The sequence below is a fragment of the Homo sapiens genome, chromosome 14, assembly GCF_000001405.40.
Source record: "Homo sapiens chromosome 14, GRCh38.p14 Primary Assembly".
Lineage (NCBI taxonomy): Eukaryota > Metazoa > Chordata > Mammalia > Primates > Hominidae > Homo > Homo sapiens.
Window position 1 is genome coordinate 50,963,647 of NC_000014.9, and position 16,502 is coordinate 50,980,148.

Genomic DNA, 16,502 nt, shown 5'->3' on the forward strand with positions numbered 1-16,502 from the left:
TTTGCATATGAGGACGGAAGGGATGGAGCAGCTCGCTGGGGAATGTGTGGATTCGTGCTTCTCTGCTATGTGGAAAGTATGGTTAAGAGTGAAGGCCCCAGGGCTGGGTATGGTGGCTCACTCCCGTAATCCCAGCACTTTGGGAGGCTGAGGTGGGCGAATCACCTGAGGTCAGGAGTTCGAGACCAGCCTGGCCAGCATGGCGAAAACCTGTCTCTACTAAAAATACAAAAATTAGTTGGGCATGATGGCGGGTGTCTGTGGTCCCAGCTACTTGGTAGGCTGAGGCAGGAGAACTGCTTGAATGCTTGAACCTGGGAGGTGGAGGTTGCAGTGAGCTGAGATCGCGCCACTGCACTCTGGCCTGAGCGACGGAGTAAGACTCTGCCTCAAAAAAAAAAAAAAAAAAAAAAAAGAGTGAAGGCCCTAGAACCGACATGTAAGGGTTTAAATTCCAGCTCTGTCAGTTACCAGCTGTGTGGCCTTGGGCAAATACAGAAACTTTATTTGCTATAGTTTCCTAATTTTTACAATGGGGGATAATGGTAATCCAATGACATGATGTTGTTGTATAAATTAAATGAGTTAATAAATATGAAATGCTTCAAATAGTGCCTGACACACTGAGCACTCCAGTAACAGTAACAGTTACTCTTAATACCTGCCCTAAGAAGTATTGGTGGGAACTATATTCAAGGACTATAAATCTTTTTAAGTTACTCAAAATCAAAACCCTTTGTAAATCATTTTACCCCTCCACATCCTCACTGTGAACGTAATAGCAATGTATGTTTAATTATATACTGACCATTCTCCATTGCAAGGATAAACAGCTTAAACAAGAGGAATCTCCGTGAGTTCCTCCTGCACTAGACACAGCATATTTTCTAACTTAATCCTCACAACCACCTTAGGATATGGATATTATTATCTCTAATTTATGATAAACTAAAACTATTGTTTAAGGTTAATTACCTTGTCTAAGCTCACATCTAGTAAGTGATTGACCTGGGCTGGGAACTGGGTTTTTGTGACCCCAGAGTCCACGAGACAGATTTTCAGGTGAATAAGATTCAAAGAATTAAAAAAATTTTGAAACCAGTTGTGTAGATCTTTATATCAGAAAAAAATTCCCAGCTCAGTTTCTGGTAGCTTAGAGGCAGCAATTTCTTGTGTTCATTTCTTGGGAAAGACGTGTCAAGTCAAGTTGGCTGTGGTCCCAGTTTCTACCGAGTTGTAGAAGCTATGTTGTTTTTTGAGCTAGATCAGCTGTGAGCATTTGACATTCTGAGACATAAAGTCAATATAGAAGAGAACCTCCCCTCTCACTGTTTATTCTCTGCTACGATTGTAAATGTCTCCCAGCTTTCTGCCATTTCCAAAGCATTTACTTTTGTTCAGAAAAAAAAAAAAATCCCAGAAATTAAAGGCCCAGACTAAACAGCATTCATTTATTTAAAACATTACGTAGATATAACCTGTCACTTCACTTTGCTTAAAACCCACCAGTGGCTTCCTGCTACACTTGGAATAAGCCCAAATACTTCATCATGGTGCAGGGGTCCTTGCTCATTTTGCTGCCAAGCCTCTATCCCTACTTTTCTAGAAATAGCACTCAAATTGGATTCAGTGGCTGGAATTCTAAGTGGTGATGTCCTGCCCTCCCTCAGCTAAGAGGTAGACCCAGGATACAAGCAAAACCAGACACCATCTTTCTGGAATTAAATCTTGAGCAGTGAGACAATAAAATGAGGATGAGCTGGAGCTTTTGCGCCCCCTTGGCAGTCTCTGATAAGACCCGATATTCATCAGTTCCTGCTACCTTGATCCCCAGAGCTGCCCTCGTTCCCATCTTTCTGAGCTGCCCCATGTCTTTCTCGCATATTCCTTCTATGCCTTTAGGTCAGCCACAGTCAGGTTGGGTGTTTTTGTAGCCAAAGATTCCTATCTGGCACACCTGCCTGGCAGGGCCTCCCTGCAGTGGTCCCTCAGTGTCTGCGGGGGCATTGGTTCCAGGACCTCCCTGAGATACTGAAATTCACAGATACTCAAGTCCCTGATATAAAATGGTGTAGCATTTTCATATAACCTCAGCAGGCTGGGCTCTCCACCCTCCTTCCTCTCACTGCATGCACCTCACCCTCACTAACTCTTTGACTTACTGGGCTTGTTCCCGCCTCAAGGCCTTTACCCCTTCCCTTGGTCTTGGCTTCTTCAACCCAAATATAACCCCTTCAGAGAGGTAATTGCTGACTTTTCCATATCTCTCTATCTCATAGCCTGTTGGATTTCCTGTGTTGTATTTATTAAGACTTAAAATGATTTTGATCTTTACTTATTATTTCCCTATTTGAATATCAGCTCTAAGAACGTAGGGACCTTGTCTATTTTATTCACTGGTATTCCCAGTAATAGCATTGTTACAACAGCATTTATCACTTAATAGGTGCTCATTAAATATTAATCGTATGAATGAGTGTGTTGTCTGTGGTACATCCTATGTGTAGCAATCATATGTCATATAACCTACAGGTTAAGAGCCTGTGTCTTGGAGTCAGACTATTTGGGTTCAAACCCTGGCTGTCATACTTGTATACTGTGTGACTTTGGGCAAGTTGCTTAACCTCTTGTGCTTCAGTTTCTTCATTTCTAAAATGGTAATAATAAAAATGCATAAGTAAGATGAAGGGTAAGTAAGATGATTCACTAAAAGCCCTTGGTACATTGCCTGGAAAACAATAAGATTCAATATTTGGCAACTTACATTATTAGAGCACGGTTGTCTCTCCATATCCGTGAAGCCTTGGTTTCAGGACACCCCTGGGATACCAAAATTCACAGATAGTTAAGTCTCTGATATAAAATGGTGTAGCATTTGCATGTAACATATGCAAATCCTCCTATATACTTTAAATCTCTAGATTACTTATAATACCTAATGCAATGTAAATGCTTTGTAAATAGTTGTTATGCTGTATTCCTTTTATTTGTATTATTTTTCTTGTTTTTTTAATTTCCTTCCCAGCATTTTCAACCCAAGCTTGTTTCAATGCACCCATGTGGAACCTGCGGATATGATGAGTGATTGGATTTCTCAATTGTAAGAAGTTCTAGTTAGAGATTGTATGATGCACTACTGGCTTAATAGTAGCTCTTTTGGCCGGGCATGGTGGCTCACGCCTGTAATCCCAGAACTTTGGGAGACCGAGGCAGGCGGATCACCTGAGGTCAAGAGTTCAAGACCAGCCTGGCCAACATGGTGAAACCCCGTCTCTACTAAAAATACAAAAATTAGCCTGGCATGGTGGCGTGTGCCTGTAGTCCCAGCTACTCAGGAGGCTGAGGCAGGATAATTGCTTGGACCCGGGAGGTGGAGGTTGCAGTGAGCCAAGATCGCACCACTGCACTTCAGCCTGGGCAATAAGAGTGAAACTCTGTCTCAAAAAAAAAAAAAAAAAAAAATGGAACTGTTTTGGAGAAAACCAAAGCCAAGTTCAACATTTAATATATACCACTTGGGAAAACTCTACTTACAATAGCATGCATTATCTGCCACAATACATGCTACTTTGCTCTTCAGACTAACAAACACAATTCGGTCCCCAAGTACCTCTGTATCAAGCAGGGCCACTGGCAGTTATACGTAATGTAATGATTACCCTTGCACGAGATCTGGACCTTGCTAGCATATTTGTGAGGCTGCAGAATAATTTAAAGAATGCAGTGGGATTATGTGTGTGTTTTTTTCTTTCTTTCTTTTCTTTTTTTTTTTTTTTTTGCATTTCTCTTTTGGCTATTTTGTTTGTATTGCTACTGTTAACTGAATTATAAATAATAGGAAATAAAGAGCTTCTGGGAAGTAGCTGGAAGCTTTTGACAGATTTAGACATCTGAATGATAGCTCTTCACATATCAGTTGGTCCCAAAAACTTTTCCTAGATTTCAAAAATTTGTGATTTGTTCTCAGCATCTTGACAATTTTATTAATTATATTATCCAGTGTATGACTATTTCAATTGTATATTATCCAGTGAATGATTATTAATTTTATGCATGTACAATATATTTTTTCATTTCTATACTGCATTATAATGGGATCTTTTAAAAGACCTTTTAAGTGATAATTAAGATGTGAATTTAAGTTTATCAACTTTCAAAGGAAATAACAAGTAACAGAATGATGAAATTGTTAGCTGGTGTAATGCCTCTGTGACATAGCTGAATTTCTGCTCTGCCCTAACACTGCTTTAAGAAACAGGATGCCTGCAATAAAAAGTTCCCTTTGTAACCGGAACAGTTGAGACTGGTTAGAACCAAAATAGCTGAGCAAATGACTTCAGAAAGAACTCGGGCTTCATTATAATCTCATTTCCATGCTAAATGACACTCTGACCATCACCATAACAGTGGACAATTGCTAGGACAATGACCAGAAGAAGCTATAAAAGGACAAAAAAGGAGGAAGGCATCACTCCAGTTCTGGGAAGTTCACTGACCCTTTCCAGAAAAGACCTGAGTCTTCCTCTTTTCATTTTCCTTTCTTTTTTTTTTTGAGACAGAGTCTTGCTCTGTTACCCAGGCTGGAGTGCAGTGGTGCCATCTGGGCTCCCTGCAACCTCCGCCTCCCAGGTTCAAGTGATTCTTCTACCTCAGCCTCCCAAGTAGCTGGGATTACAGGTGCGTGCCACCACACCCAGCTAATTTTTGTGTTTTTAGTAGAGAAGGGGTTTCACCATATTGGCCAGGCTGGTCTTGAACTCCTGACCTCGTGATCCATCCACCTTGGCCTCCCAAAGTGCTGGGATTACAGGTGTGAGCCACCGTGCCCGGCCCCTCTTTTCATTTTTAATGTCCATCCTCTTCGTTAGAGAAACTCTTTATTTGCACCCCTCACCCCTCACTGGTCAAGAAGTTGATTTGTGAGCCATGCTTCCACTTCTTAATTCCATGGCCATTGAATAAAGCCTGCTCTACTTGACAATTTTAGTTTTGTGTATTGGCTTCATGACACTGAACATGGAAAGACTTCATGTTTTGAGGGATCCACTTTGTTGGTTATAAGATGATGCCCCCCATCTTATTGTTTTTCCAAATGTGTAGGCAATAAAAACTTTGCTGAGTATACACTACCCACTCATTCCTTACCTCTGGGCTGTCAGCTCTAGACACACATTAGAATCACCTTACAAATTCCAGATTCTCAGGCTGCATCTTAGACCAACTAAATTAGTAACCTGGCATCAGTATTCTTTCTTTCTTTATTTTTTTTTGAGACGGAATCTCGCTCTGTCGTCTAGGCTGGAGTGCGGTGGCGCGATCTCGGCTCACTGCAAGCTCCGCCTCCCGGGTTCACGCCATTCTCCTGCCTCAGCCTCCGGAGTAGCTGGGACTACAGGTGCCCGCCACCACGCCCGGCTAATTTTTTTTGTATTTTTAGTAGAGACAGGGTTTCACTGTGTTAGCCAGGATGGTCTCGATCTCCTGACCTCGTGATCCGCCCTCCTCGGCCTCCCAAAGTGCTGGGATAACAGGCGTGAGCCACCGCACCCGGCAGCATCAGTATTCTTAAAGTTCCCCAGATGATTTCAGTGTGCAGTGGAGGCTGAGAACCACCACTCTATCAATGGCTGAAGAGTGTCTTTCTTTCTTTTTTTTTTTTTCTGCGACAGAGTCTCGCTTTGTCACCAGGCTGGAGTGCAGTGGCACAATCTCAGCTCACTGCAATCTCCACCTCCCGGATTCAAGCGATTCTCCCGCCTCAGCCTTCTGAGTAGCTGGGATTACAGGCATGCACCATCACACTCGGCTAATTTTTGTATTTTTAGTAGAGACGGGGGGTTTCACCATGTTGGCTAGGCTGGTCTCGAACTCCTGACCTCAAGTGATCCACCCGCCTTGGCCTCCCAAAGTGCTGAGATTACAGGCGTGAGCCACCACCGCTCCCAGCCTAAAGAGTTTCTTTTGACATGTGTTGTAAGATGTGTCTTGATTTGAGAGATGTTAAGGTGTAAAAAACAAAACAAAAAAACCAGCTGGGTCTGGTGGTTCACGCCTTTAATCCCAGCATTTTGGAAGCCCGAGGCAGGAAGATCCCTTGAGACCAGGAGTTCAAGACCAGACTGGGCAACATAGCAAGATTCCATCCCTACAAAAAATTTTAAAATTAGCCAGTAGTGGTGGTATGTGCCTGTAGTCCCAGCTGCTCAAGAGGCTGAGTCAGGAGGATCCCTTGAGCCCAGAAGTTTGAGGCTGCAGTGAACTATGATCATGCCACTGCGTGCCAACCTGAGTGACAATGTGAGACCTTGTCTCTCAAAACAGAAACACAAAACACAACCCTTGCATCTGAGAAATAAGAAAATTGTAATTGCTATTATTAGTCTAGCCCTAGAAGGATTCAGACCATGAAAAATATCATATTGGGTCAGATCAATTTTGTGGGACAACTGATGTTCCTTAGTTGTTCTCCTTTTACAGTGTCTTTGACATTGTTTACTAGGAGTGCACCCCATGTATTATAAAGCTTCCTTTGGTTACTGCCAGACACCTGGCAAGAGCTTAGAAATGAAGCTTGATGCATAAAGGAAAAAAAAAAGGAAAAAAGGGAAACAAAACAAAAAGCATGGTGTGTGATGCGTGTGAATCTCCTGGTCACTGGGTGCACCCTTGTATCCTGTACTCTTTTGGGCCCCTGATTTCACATCCCAACTCCCCTTGGAGTTTGAGGTCAGCCTGACCAACATGGAGAAAACCCGTCCCTACTAAAAATGCAAAATTAGCTGGGCTTGGTGGCACATGCCTGTAGTCCCAGCTACTTGGGAGGCTGAAGCAGGAGAATCGCTTGAACCTGGGAGACAGAGGTTGCGGTGAACCGAGATCATGCCATTACACTCCAGCCTGGGCAACAAGAGCGAAACTGCGTCTCAAAAAAAAAAAATAGACTCAGTGTTTCATCTGATTCCTTGGGATTCTCGCTTTCCCCATCCCTAAGGCAAGGAGAGCAGATGCTCAGATTCTCTTAATATCAAAGCAAAGTGTCCCCTTAGCTAGGATGATAGCTAGCTTAGCCTCAGCATATGTGTTAATTCTTGGTCTGACTTGAAATCTTGAAGATGTGGAATTTGATAGTGGCATGGAGGTTTGGCTGGACCTCAGAAATTTTAAAGACTGAGTGATTTCTTTCCTATAAAGAAATTTGTGGTTTTCTGCTGGTGTATCAGGTCTTAATACAACACTACACCTAGATAAAGTTTGCGTATTCTGCAAAGCCTGTTATTTCTGCCAAAATGCCAATGATAAAATCAACCTCTTGAGAAGCTACAATTAACCTTCACCTAGTCATCATTTCAAGCCTGCCCAACCAATAAGCCTGCAGACATATTTCTTCACATCTGAGAGAAACAGTGCCCACCAGGCAATTAGGAAAATACGTTGAGATCCCATATGAAAATCAGCATTACGGCAGGAACAATTAGGATCCTCATTTACTGCAGGTGATTTGCTCATTTTAAACTAATTAAACTACTAGGTTGAAAACACAGTTCAGAAACAGAGTGTAGAGTAGTTCATATTTAATACCTCCATCTTTCCTTAAAAATTGTTTGTTAAATGGAAGCCTAACAATAAATCAAAAAGTCAATAAATCTTTGCTACTAGAAGTGGGTTTAGATAAGATAAAGATGGTTCCATTTAATTAGGGAAGAAAACAGATGGCTGTGATGTATGAACAAGGATAATACAGGAGGGTTTAGAACATAAAATATAAGTTGGAGAGGAGCTTTAGAAAATTGAGAAGCTTATTACATCTGGACAGGTTTGGGGAAATAGGAGCAGACTATTATGAGTAATTTGAGGGAGGCTGGAAGGAGAGAACTCATGAGACTCAGGGTCCAGTCCAACATGGCCCCACAGTGACCGCATGACAGCACAGCCCTGGCAAAGGGTGGCATCCTGCCTGATGGGGCCTGAGACAGCACTCCTGCACTGTCCATGTACTTTGCTTCCTGCTGAGTGATCCTTGAGTGTTGTCACGGAATTTTTTTTGTATTAAGATATAATTTACATGCCATGTAATTCACCTTCTTGAAGTATATATTTCAGTGGTTTTTAGTATATTCGCAAGATTATGCAACCACCACCACTATCTAATTCTGTACTGGAAATTTGATAAAATGTTGATCCTTTTTCTTTTTTCCCAGGGGCCCAAACATCTATTTCTGGTTTTTTTTGGTTTTTTTTTTTTTTTTTTTTGAGACGGAGTCTCGCTCTGTCACCCAGGCTGGAGTGCAGTGGCGCGATCTCGGCTCACTGCAAGCTCCGCCTCCTGGGTTCAGGCCATTCTCCTGCCTCAGCCTCCCAAGTAGCTGGGACTACAGGCGCCCGCCACCATGCCCGGCTAATTTTTTTTTTTTTTTGTATTTTTAGTAGAGACGGGGTTTCACCGTGGTCTCGATCTCCTGACCTCGTGATCCGCCTGCCTCGGCCTCCCAAAGTGCTGGGATTACAGGCGTGAGCCACCATGCCCGGCCACCACACATCTATTTCTGTAGTTTTTCTTAGCACAGCCATGGTAGGGTGAAGAAGTAACAAACTGAAAGGCCCAGACTGAGGTTTCTGTACATCTATTTAGGTGCTTTTGTTGTTCACTCATATTCAGTGCTCCAAATTCTGTGTTTATCCAAAAAATTGGTTCTTCAGATAAACACAACATTTAGGTCGCCTCAGTTGTATGTGATGTATTATGTCAGATCCACGCTTCCCTAAACATCAGCCTTAGTGGAAATAGCTAGCACATATTTTGAGAAATACATACAGGTGTCTTTAGTGTGTTCACATAAATCATAAGGTAGTGTGACCAGAGAATTTGTTTGTTTATTATAGTTCCATTGATTCATAATCAGAAATCTGGATTCAATAGCAAGCCCTCCTTTCTTCTCAGTGAGTTGAATAGATAGGCAAAAGATTAATGCCTACAGCAGAGGGAGGAATAAAGGGACCTCATTTCTAGAAAATAAAATGATTTCTTGCAAATCACTTATTCACTCCTATAAGGAAATATGAGGAATTACAAGTTCCATTAACTTCAGTACCACGAGAAGAGTAAAACATAAGCAATGCGTTCCATTAGGTAGTAAACAGAAGAGCAGAAAACCAGAACAGAGATGGGACCAACAGAGGAGGAAGAAAAAAGTAACATGGTAGTGGAAATGATGGCACCAGCGGCCCATCTGGAGCCACTGCTGCAAAGACTCTGGCTGCAGGGGGCAAGGTGAGCCTGGGGCTGTCTGCTCAACGGAGCCAGTAGGGGCCGGGAACAGGCGAGAGCCCTGCTCCCTACTGAGTTGGCAGGGCCAAAGCCCCAAAATCCCAGGCGCAGCTGCGGCAGCCCAGCCATAACTCTGGACTTGGGCATCCCTGCGCTCTTGGGGGCCTGGGAAGCTCCCCTCCCCCCGTAGGCTCAGAAGTACCTGCTCCCGCTCCTTGGCCTCTCCCTGCTCCTGGTGCCCCCTCCAGGGTGGAGCAAAGTTGTGGTCAAGCCTGGGCGCTGTCGGAAACCCCCCAGGTGTGTGTGTGCTTGGGACAGCACTGTCACACCAGCCTTCTGCCACCTCAGCCCCCTCTGGACTTTGGGTGCTGATGAGCATGGGAGGGAGGCCGAGGTGGAGCCGAAGATAGCCCAGTGCAGGCCTGCAGGCACCCCTCAGCACAAACATCCTCGGTACTGTGGAAGGCATGTTGATGGTGGCAGGAGGAAGTCATGCTCCTGGACAGAAAAGGGCAGGTCCCTGGTGAAACCCCTACCTTCAAGCCAGGGATGGCCTGAAGCCTGGGGGCCAGGCTGCCAGTTCTGGGGTGAGTCCGTGGCCCAGAGTGAGAACTGATGATGCTGTTTCCAGGCCCATCCATGCCTGCCTATGGATCATTCAGTACACACTTCCTTCCTTCTGAGCCCATGAAAACCCTGTGCTCAGCCAGACGTCGACACTACCAGCTGCAGGAAGGAGTTACCCACTCTGGGTCTCCTCTCTGCTGGGGTCTGCACAGACATCAAGGTGACCTGTCTGTGGAGGGAGCTACCCACTTCAGGTCTCCTGAGAGCTGTTCTGTCACTCAATGAAGCTCCTCTCTGCCTTGCTCACCCTCCAGTTGTGCAGGTACCTCACTCTTCCTGGATACAGGACAAGAACTTGGGACCTGCTGAATGGTGGGACTGAAAGAGCTGTAACACAAACAGGGCTGAAACCCTCAGCCACCACCCTCAGCTCACCATGTTGCAGGTGATGAGAAGGAGAGAAGAGCTGTGGCCCTTCTGGGAGCCCATACCTAGGGGCTCCTGGAGCCAGGGCTGTGACACCCTCTTTGGGGCTCTGTGGTTCCTGGTATCTCCAAGCTTCCGGGTGCCACCACATACCCTTCAGCCAGATGCATGTTCCTGTAGTGGAAGCTGTGTGCAGTACATCTGGTCCAGCCATAGCCTCTTACAGAGCCAACAACTTTGCTGGTGCCTGGAGCTGCCTGCCCTGCCACAGCAGCTGGCCTGCCTGGCTGTGTGCAGTGGCCAGACCCAGAGCTCACTTGCCCACACACCCCTTGCCACTCCACACCTGACTCACCCTTAGCAGGTGTGGGATCCAGGCTGGTAGTGTGAGCCGAGTGCAGCCTGCCAGGCCGAGTGGGCAGAATGAGCCCAGTAGGTGCAGGCAGTACTCAGGCAGAAGGCGCTGCCAGCCACAGAGGTTTTTGGCTGGAGAAGTGACACCCCAAGGATCCCGTGACAGAAAGAGGAATGTGTAGAAACTGGAATCAACGGAGAGCAGCAGCAGCTACCAACTGTGTACTATTCCACTCTGTGAGGTTATAACTCAGACCATATATTTGTAGGTAATGTTTTTCCTTTAATCAAGAAACAAAGTGTTTTTTTAGTGGCTAACAACAATGTTAGGTAGATGAATAATGTTGTAATTATTGTTTTGCCATTCAAAGAAATGTTAAAGGAGCTAGGTTTGAAAAAGTCAGTGACACTCTGTTTTGCAGTACTATAAAATTGCAAGCCAAATGTGTGGCTTTTTAAAAATAAAGTAGGCCAGGCTCACGCCTGTAATCCCAGCACTTTGGGAGGCCGAGACGGGTGGATCACAAGGTCAAGAGATCAAGACCATCCTGGCCAACATGGTGAAACCCCGTCTCTAATAAAAATACAAAAAAATTAGCTGGGCGTGGTGGTGTGTGCCTGTAGTCCCAGCTACCCGGGAGGCTGAGGCAGGAGAATTGCTTGAACCCAGGAGGGGAGATTGCACTGGGCCAACATTGCGCCACTGCACTCCAGCCTGGTGACAGAGTGAGATTCCGTCTAAAAAAAAAAAAAAAAAACAGAAGTAAATCCCCAATACTTGGAAGCAGACCCCAGACATCTCCACTGGACATTTCACATCAGGTTAAATTTCATATGAGTAAAACCAAAAGGCAGTGCCACATGCCCAAGGAAACAGGGGAAAGAACACATGCTCTCCAGAGCTCTGGGGGCCTTTCCAATGAGATCTTCCTGAAGAAACATCGCTCTGACAAAGGTGAATTGTCATCCGCAATAGATAAAAACTAAGAAATTCTAGAGACATTTTATTCTCTCATAAAAATCATTTATTGGCACATCAGAAATGACAATTTTTTCTAGTATAGTAGTTGTATGCATCTGTAATTGCAATTCAGTGTAAACTACATGTTACAAGTCACTAGAAATCTAATTAGCAGGATGAATTTAATAAAGAACAAGAGGAACTATGAGTCTACCACGGCCCAGCCATTGAGTCTCATTGGAGAGTAAATCAAATATCAAACTAGTGTTGCCCTGCAACAGTTTTTCTGTAGCCAAGAAAAACCAAGACACACATAAACAGGATAGCACCCATTCCATAAATTAGGTACACTTAACTAGAAAAAGATTGTAACTGATAGAAATAATCTAAATAAAGTAAGCACAAAAGTAAATAATTAGCTATTTACATATATTCCTTTTTGCCAAAACTTTAATTTGTTAGCTTTCCCATCCTATCTCTTCCCTTCTATTTGTTATTCTTGTTTTTTCATGGTGAATTTCTTGGCTCACTGAAAAATATTTAGACAACTAATTAGAACTTCTTTCCGGGTCCTACCTTTCCTAAAACTTTATGACAAACTAATGAATTTCAAGGGTAACCTATGTAAGTCTATCTCTATATAGAAGTAAGATGCATTATTATTCTGCTATCAGTCATAGTAATGACATACAGTCCCATGTTTTTCCAAACATTGTTTGGACTACTCCAGAAAATTAGGCTGTGAATGGCAGCAGAGTGGATGGATTTTTCATTCATAACAGGCACAGATAGTATATATGGAGACAAGCATGTTTATCCTGAGAATGTGAATGCTGTGGACTGCAACTCAAGATCTCCCATTACTGAGAATGGGTCCTTTGCCCTCTGGTCACTCTTTTTTTTTTCAACTGTCAATTTTTAAGGCGTGGTATCATAGCAGCATCAGCAAATAAGAATGCTGACATCATTTCTACCAAGAAGGGCTCTGTGATGAGTGGCAGCAGGTACCATAATTAAATAGTGCAGCTGAAAAGGCATTGAGTTGGTACATTTCTGGTGCTATGGCCAGAATGTGTGGATTTTTAGCATCATTCTAGGAAGCCTGAAAGATCTTGCCCATGAGTCTCTTTGACCCTTGCCCATTTCCTTTCTAGTACATATGACCATTTATAATTATTTTATTTTTGCTTTTTCTCCTACTGGAATATAAGCTCCGAAGGGCAGAGACCATGCCTGTCTGTTCACCACTGTGTCCCCACAGTGTCTAGAACATAATGTTCTAGTGTCTTGAACAGTGCCTGGTCAATAGTAGGTTCTCAATTAAAAGCTTTTATTAAATAAACGAACCAAATCATTAAGTCCCCTGGTTTGCCTGTGTCTTAGAGACTTTCCAATTTTATACAGTGGCCAGGGTTCTGGCCTATCCTAATTATAGAGCCATCCTAACGATCCTACCCTGATGTGAACCTGTGTAGCGGATATTTTTGTGCTTCAATGAGTAGTAAAACTTCTCAGTGATAGATTCATTCTCCCAAAGCTTAGCTCTGCAGAGCTAACGCTACAGGAGAGGTAAGAGGGTAAGAACATTCTAGCAGGTAAGCTGTATGCTACAAATTCAGCTCATTCTTCCCTACCTCCCCCTACAACCTCATTGTTTGACAGAAAGCTTAAGAAAAAAAGTTAGCAGGAGAATTTTCTCCTGGCGGTGCCAGTCCAGTAAGTCACCAATAACCTGATCAGAAAAGAAAGAAAATATAACTCACCTACATAAAAAATTAAGTTAAATAAAAGCAAAATCTGGGAGTGGGAACCAAGTGACTTGGTGGGCTGTCTAGGTCCTTTGTTGGTTAGAATTGTTGGACATGGAAGCGGAAGCAGGCATGACAGCGGAGGAGAGGTTGAAAGGGAAAAGGGCAGAGCTGTGGGTGTAAAGACTGCAGAGGACCAGCTTTTCTCTCCTCCTTCTCCCACTCCTGCCAACTCTGCACCCCACCACGGCTGGCTGAGCTCCTTGCTGTGGCTCTCGCAGGCGGAGGTAAGAACAGGCAGCTGGCGCCTCCACGGCACATCCTTAGGCTATTGATGCTCTGCTGGAGTAGAAGTCGGGGACTGGGAGCCCGGTGTGCAGCGTGACCTGGGGAATGAGACTGTGAGTCCTGAGAGGCATCGTGCATCCCCCTGTCCCTTTACACAGTGTACCGTGGGTGTGTCCCTAACTCAAAAAGTGTTCTGTTTGCTTCGCTTTAAACATCTAGGCTAGCAGGCATTAAACGGAATTCAAGAAGAATCCTGCCTATGGTAACAGGCTGCTCACCATGGTGGGCTCTCAAATCCTGGTGACATTTGATTATATGGTTCTTAGTCACCTGCCTCTTTTAAAGGATTCCGGGGAGATTGTGTTCCTTATAACTGAAGACACAGGCCTTGGTTTTCAGATAGAGGAGCCTACTGGCCACACCACAGTGACCACTGCCAAATCCATGGATAGAGGACAGATTCGCAGAGACAGCACTTCCCTTATTACTTGTCCACTAGTTATTGTAATTAGGGCAAACATTTCTTTCTGGGGTCGCATAGATGATTGCCAGTTGTGAAAAAACATGGCATTATACTATTTTACCAATTTCCGTGTATCCCCAAACCTCAATGGATAGCTATGGATAAAACTAGAACCATTTCATGCAGTTCTTATCCCTGTCTTCTCCAGCCCAAGAGTCTTTATCAATAGATAATCAGAAGGTCCTGAAAACCCCTGAAGAGCATCTAGTATAATATTCTTTGAAAGGGAAATGGCTAATGTGAAAAACCTTGAATGGGGTTTTTCTGAGACTCGCTTCTAGGGTAATTTATGGTTTTCTTTCTTAAAGTGTAGAGGCTGAACTCTGAAAGATTAGATTCCAGCCTTCTAGAAAACCCCATCTCCTTGCAGGGAGAAGGGCAGGGGCTGCTAGTTTGCAATCAATGTTACTGCACATACTGAAACACAACAATGAATTTTGATAAATAGTTTCCAAGGCTGGTTCTGGATAGGGCAAAAGTCACCTGTAATTCTCAAGCCTTATCTCAAGACAACCATTTGTGGAATGAGGCTCATAGTTGTTAATGAGATGCCCAGCTCAGGAGGGAAGTGAAACCCTAAGTCCTGACAGCGGCTGGCAGGGCACAGCTCTTCCCCCATGCATGGCTCTGGTCCCCCTTCCAGGCCCCAGCCCAAGAGTCTCTCCACCATTCCTTGCCCATGCAAGGCCCCTCATGCCTTAGAAACTGTGCACAGGCTGTTCCCTCTGTCTGGAAGGCTCCACGCAACTCACTCCCTCACTCCTTTAAGGCTCAGCTCACCGGTAACTGCGATAAGCCCTACCTACGCAATACTGTGGCTGCCCTTCCCAACCACACCACTCATGGGCCCTTGGTCTTTTCTCCACTGCACTAAACACCTTCTGACACACCATCTGATTAACATTGTAATTATGCTTATTATTTATTGTCTGTCTCCTATCACTAAGATGTAAGTTCTATGAAGGCAAGATTTTTATCTGTTTTTTTGTTTTTTTTTTTCACTGATGTATCCCAGACACTTATAACTGTGCCTGGCACATTAAAGGCATTCTATAGATATTTGCTGAATGAATAAATGAGAAGCTGTTGTTTTATTCTATAATAAATAATAATTGACTAAGTTGTAGGTAGGGACTATGTTTTCTACCCCTTAGGACCTAACAGAGCCAAACAAGAGTGCAGAGAAGATGCTCAGATTTTCTGATAATGATACTAATGCTTCAGTCTTACACCCTCACCTCTTCTCAGGCACTCCTGAGCTTTGTTAAGTCATTCTATTTGTTTTCATGCCAGTTGGTTAAAGGCTTTCGTTTCTATTTAGAGGTGAAACTAGAGCTACAGAGATGATCATTAGCCAACCATGAAGAGAATTCTAGTTTCCTATGTGCTATTAACTAGTCTGCGTCCAAGTATAAAGAAGGTGCTTATGCTTGGCGTGGAATAAAATAAGTTGCCAGTGCTGATCCCTTTCTCTCCTCCTCTCCTTCATATCTTGGTCTGGGCCTTACGCTGTCAGCTTCCCTCTCTTCGGTTGGATTGAACGGCCCTGGGCAGCCTTTGAACCGGTAGCCAGCAACAGCTGTTTAACCTCAGGGGCAGGGTGCTTACCTGCACGTTCCTGTTCAGGCTGACCGCAGGGAAGAAGAGGCCCTCCACGTTATCAAATGCTATGGGACCTTGTTGTTCATCGTTGATAAAAAATGTCAAGTTTTTTCTATTTAAGTCGAGGAGGACCCCAATTGTGGCCCCTTTTGTGATCCCTCCCTCAGTTCTGTAGGAAAAGAGAAAAATTGGGGTTCATTTCCTTGTGGTCACTCTAGAAGCTCCCCCCTTTTGTGTGGTGAAACCAGTGTCTTGCAACCTGTTTATAATCATCACTACCCCAAAACCGTTTCCCTAATCATCCCTTGCACATAAATTTTAATACCGCAGATATACTGTATACCTGTTGGTACTGTGTGTATATCTGTGTTTTATACATAACAAGAGTATGATTTTTTGCTCCCTCCCTGCCACCATCAATTTTCACTTCCTAGGGGGAGATATCTGCCCTTGTGAGTTGCTCTGCTGTTGCTGAGAGTGAACTCATTCATTAGGGTCTCTACCACTGAGTCACAGCAGTAGAAAACCAAACATTAAAGACTAGGAAAAAGTCGCCTTTGGGCTATCAGAGCTCTGACTCTAGGAATATTGCACACTTTGTATAAATGGTGTGAATTAAATATCATTAAATACAAAGTGACTTAATTTGAAAGTCAAAATAAGAAGCACTTTTGTTGCACCTAAACCACATGCATGAGAAATTGGATTTGGGGCCTTATGTTATCCATTAAACAGAAAAACTCATTCCAGAAGGATAGCAGTTTTTTG

At 43.8% G+C, this 16,502-nt stretch overlaps 1 protein-coding gene across 33 annotated transcripts in view; it reads right to left on the reverse strand.

Moving 5' to 3' along the window:
• Positions 1 to 11,619: 11,619 nt before the first annotated feature.
• The window catches only part of TRIM9 (tripartite motif containing 9), a 119,840-nt gene continuing 114,957 nt past the window's right edge, over positions 11,620 to 16,502 (reverse strand). For 32 of the 33 annotated variants that reach the window (NR_170652.1, NR_170646.1, NR_170642.1 and 29 more), the window contains 2 exons: positions 15,741 to 15,903; positions 11,620 to 13,707 (listed from right to left, as the gene is read on the reverse strand). Coding sequence is in view for 21 of the 33 variants with exons in the window: in NM_001387378.1 (NP_001374307.1) it covers positions 13,645 to 13,707; positions 15,741 to 15,903 (226 nt within the window). In the remaining 12 variants the exon portion in view is untranslated. The other variant, XM_011536389.3, reaches the window with a different exon arrangement.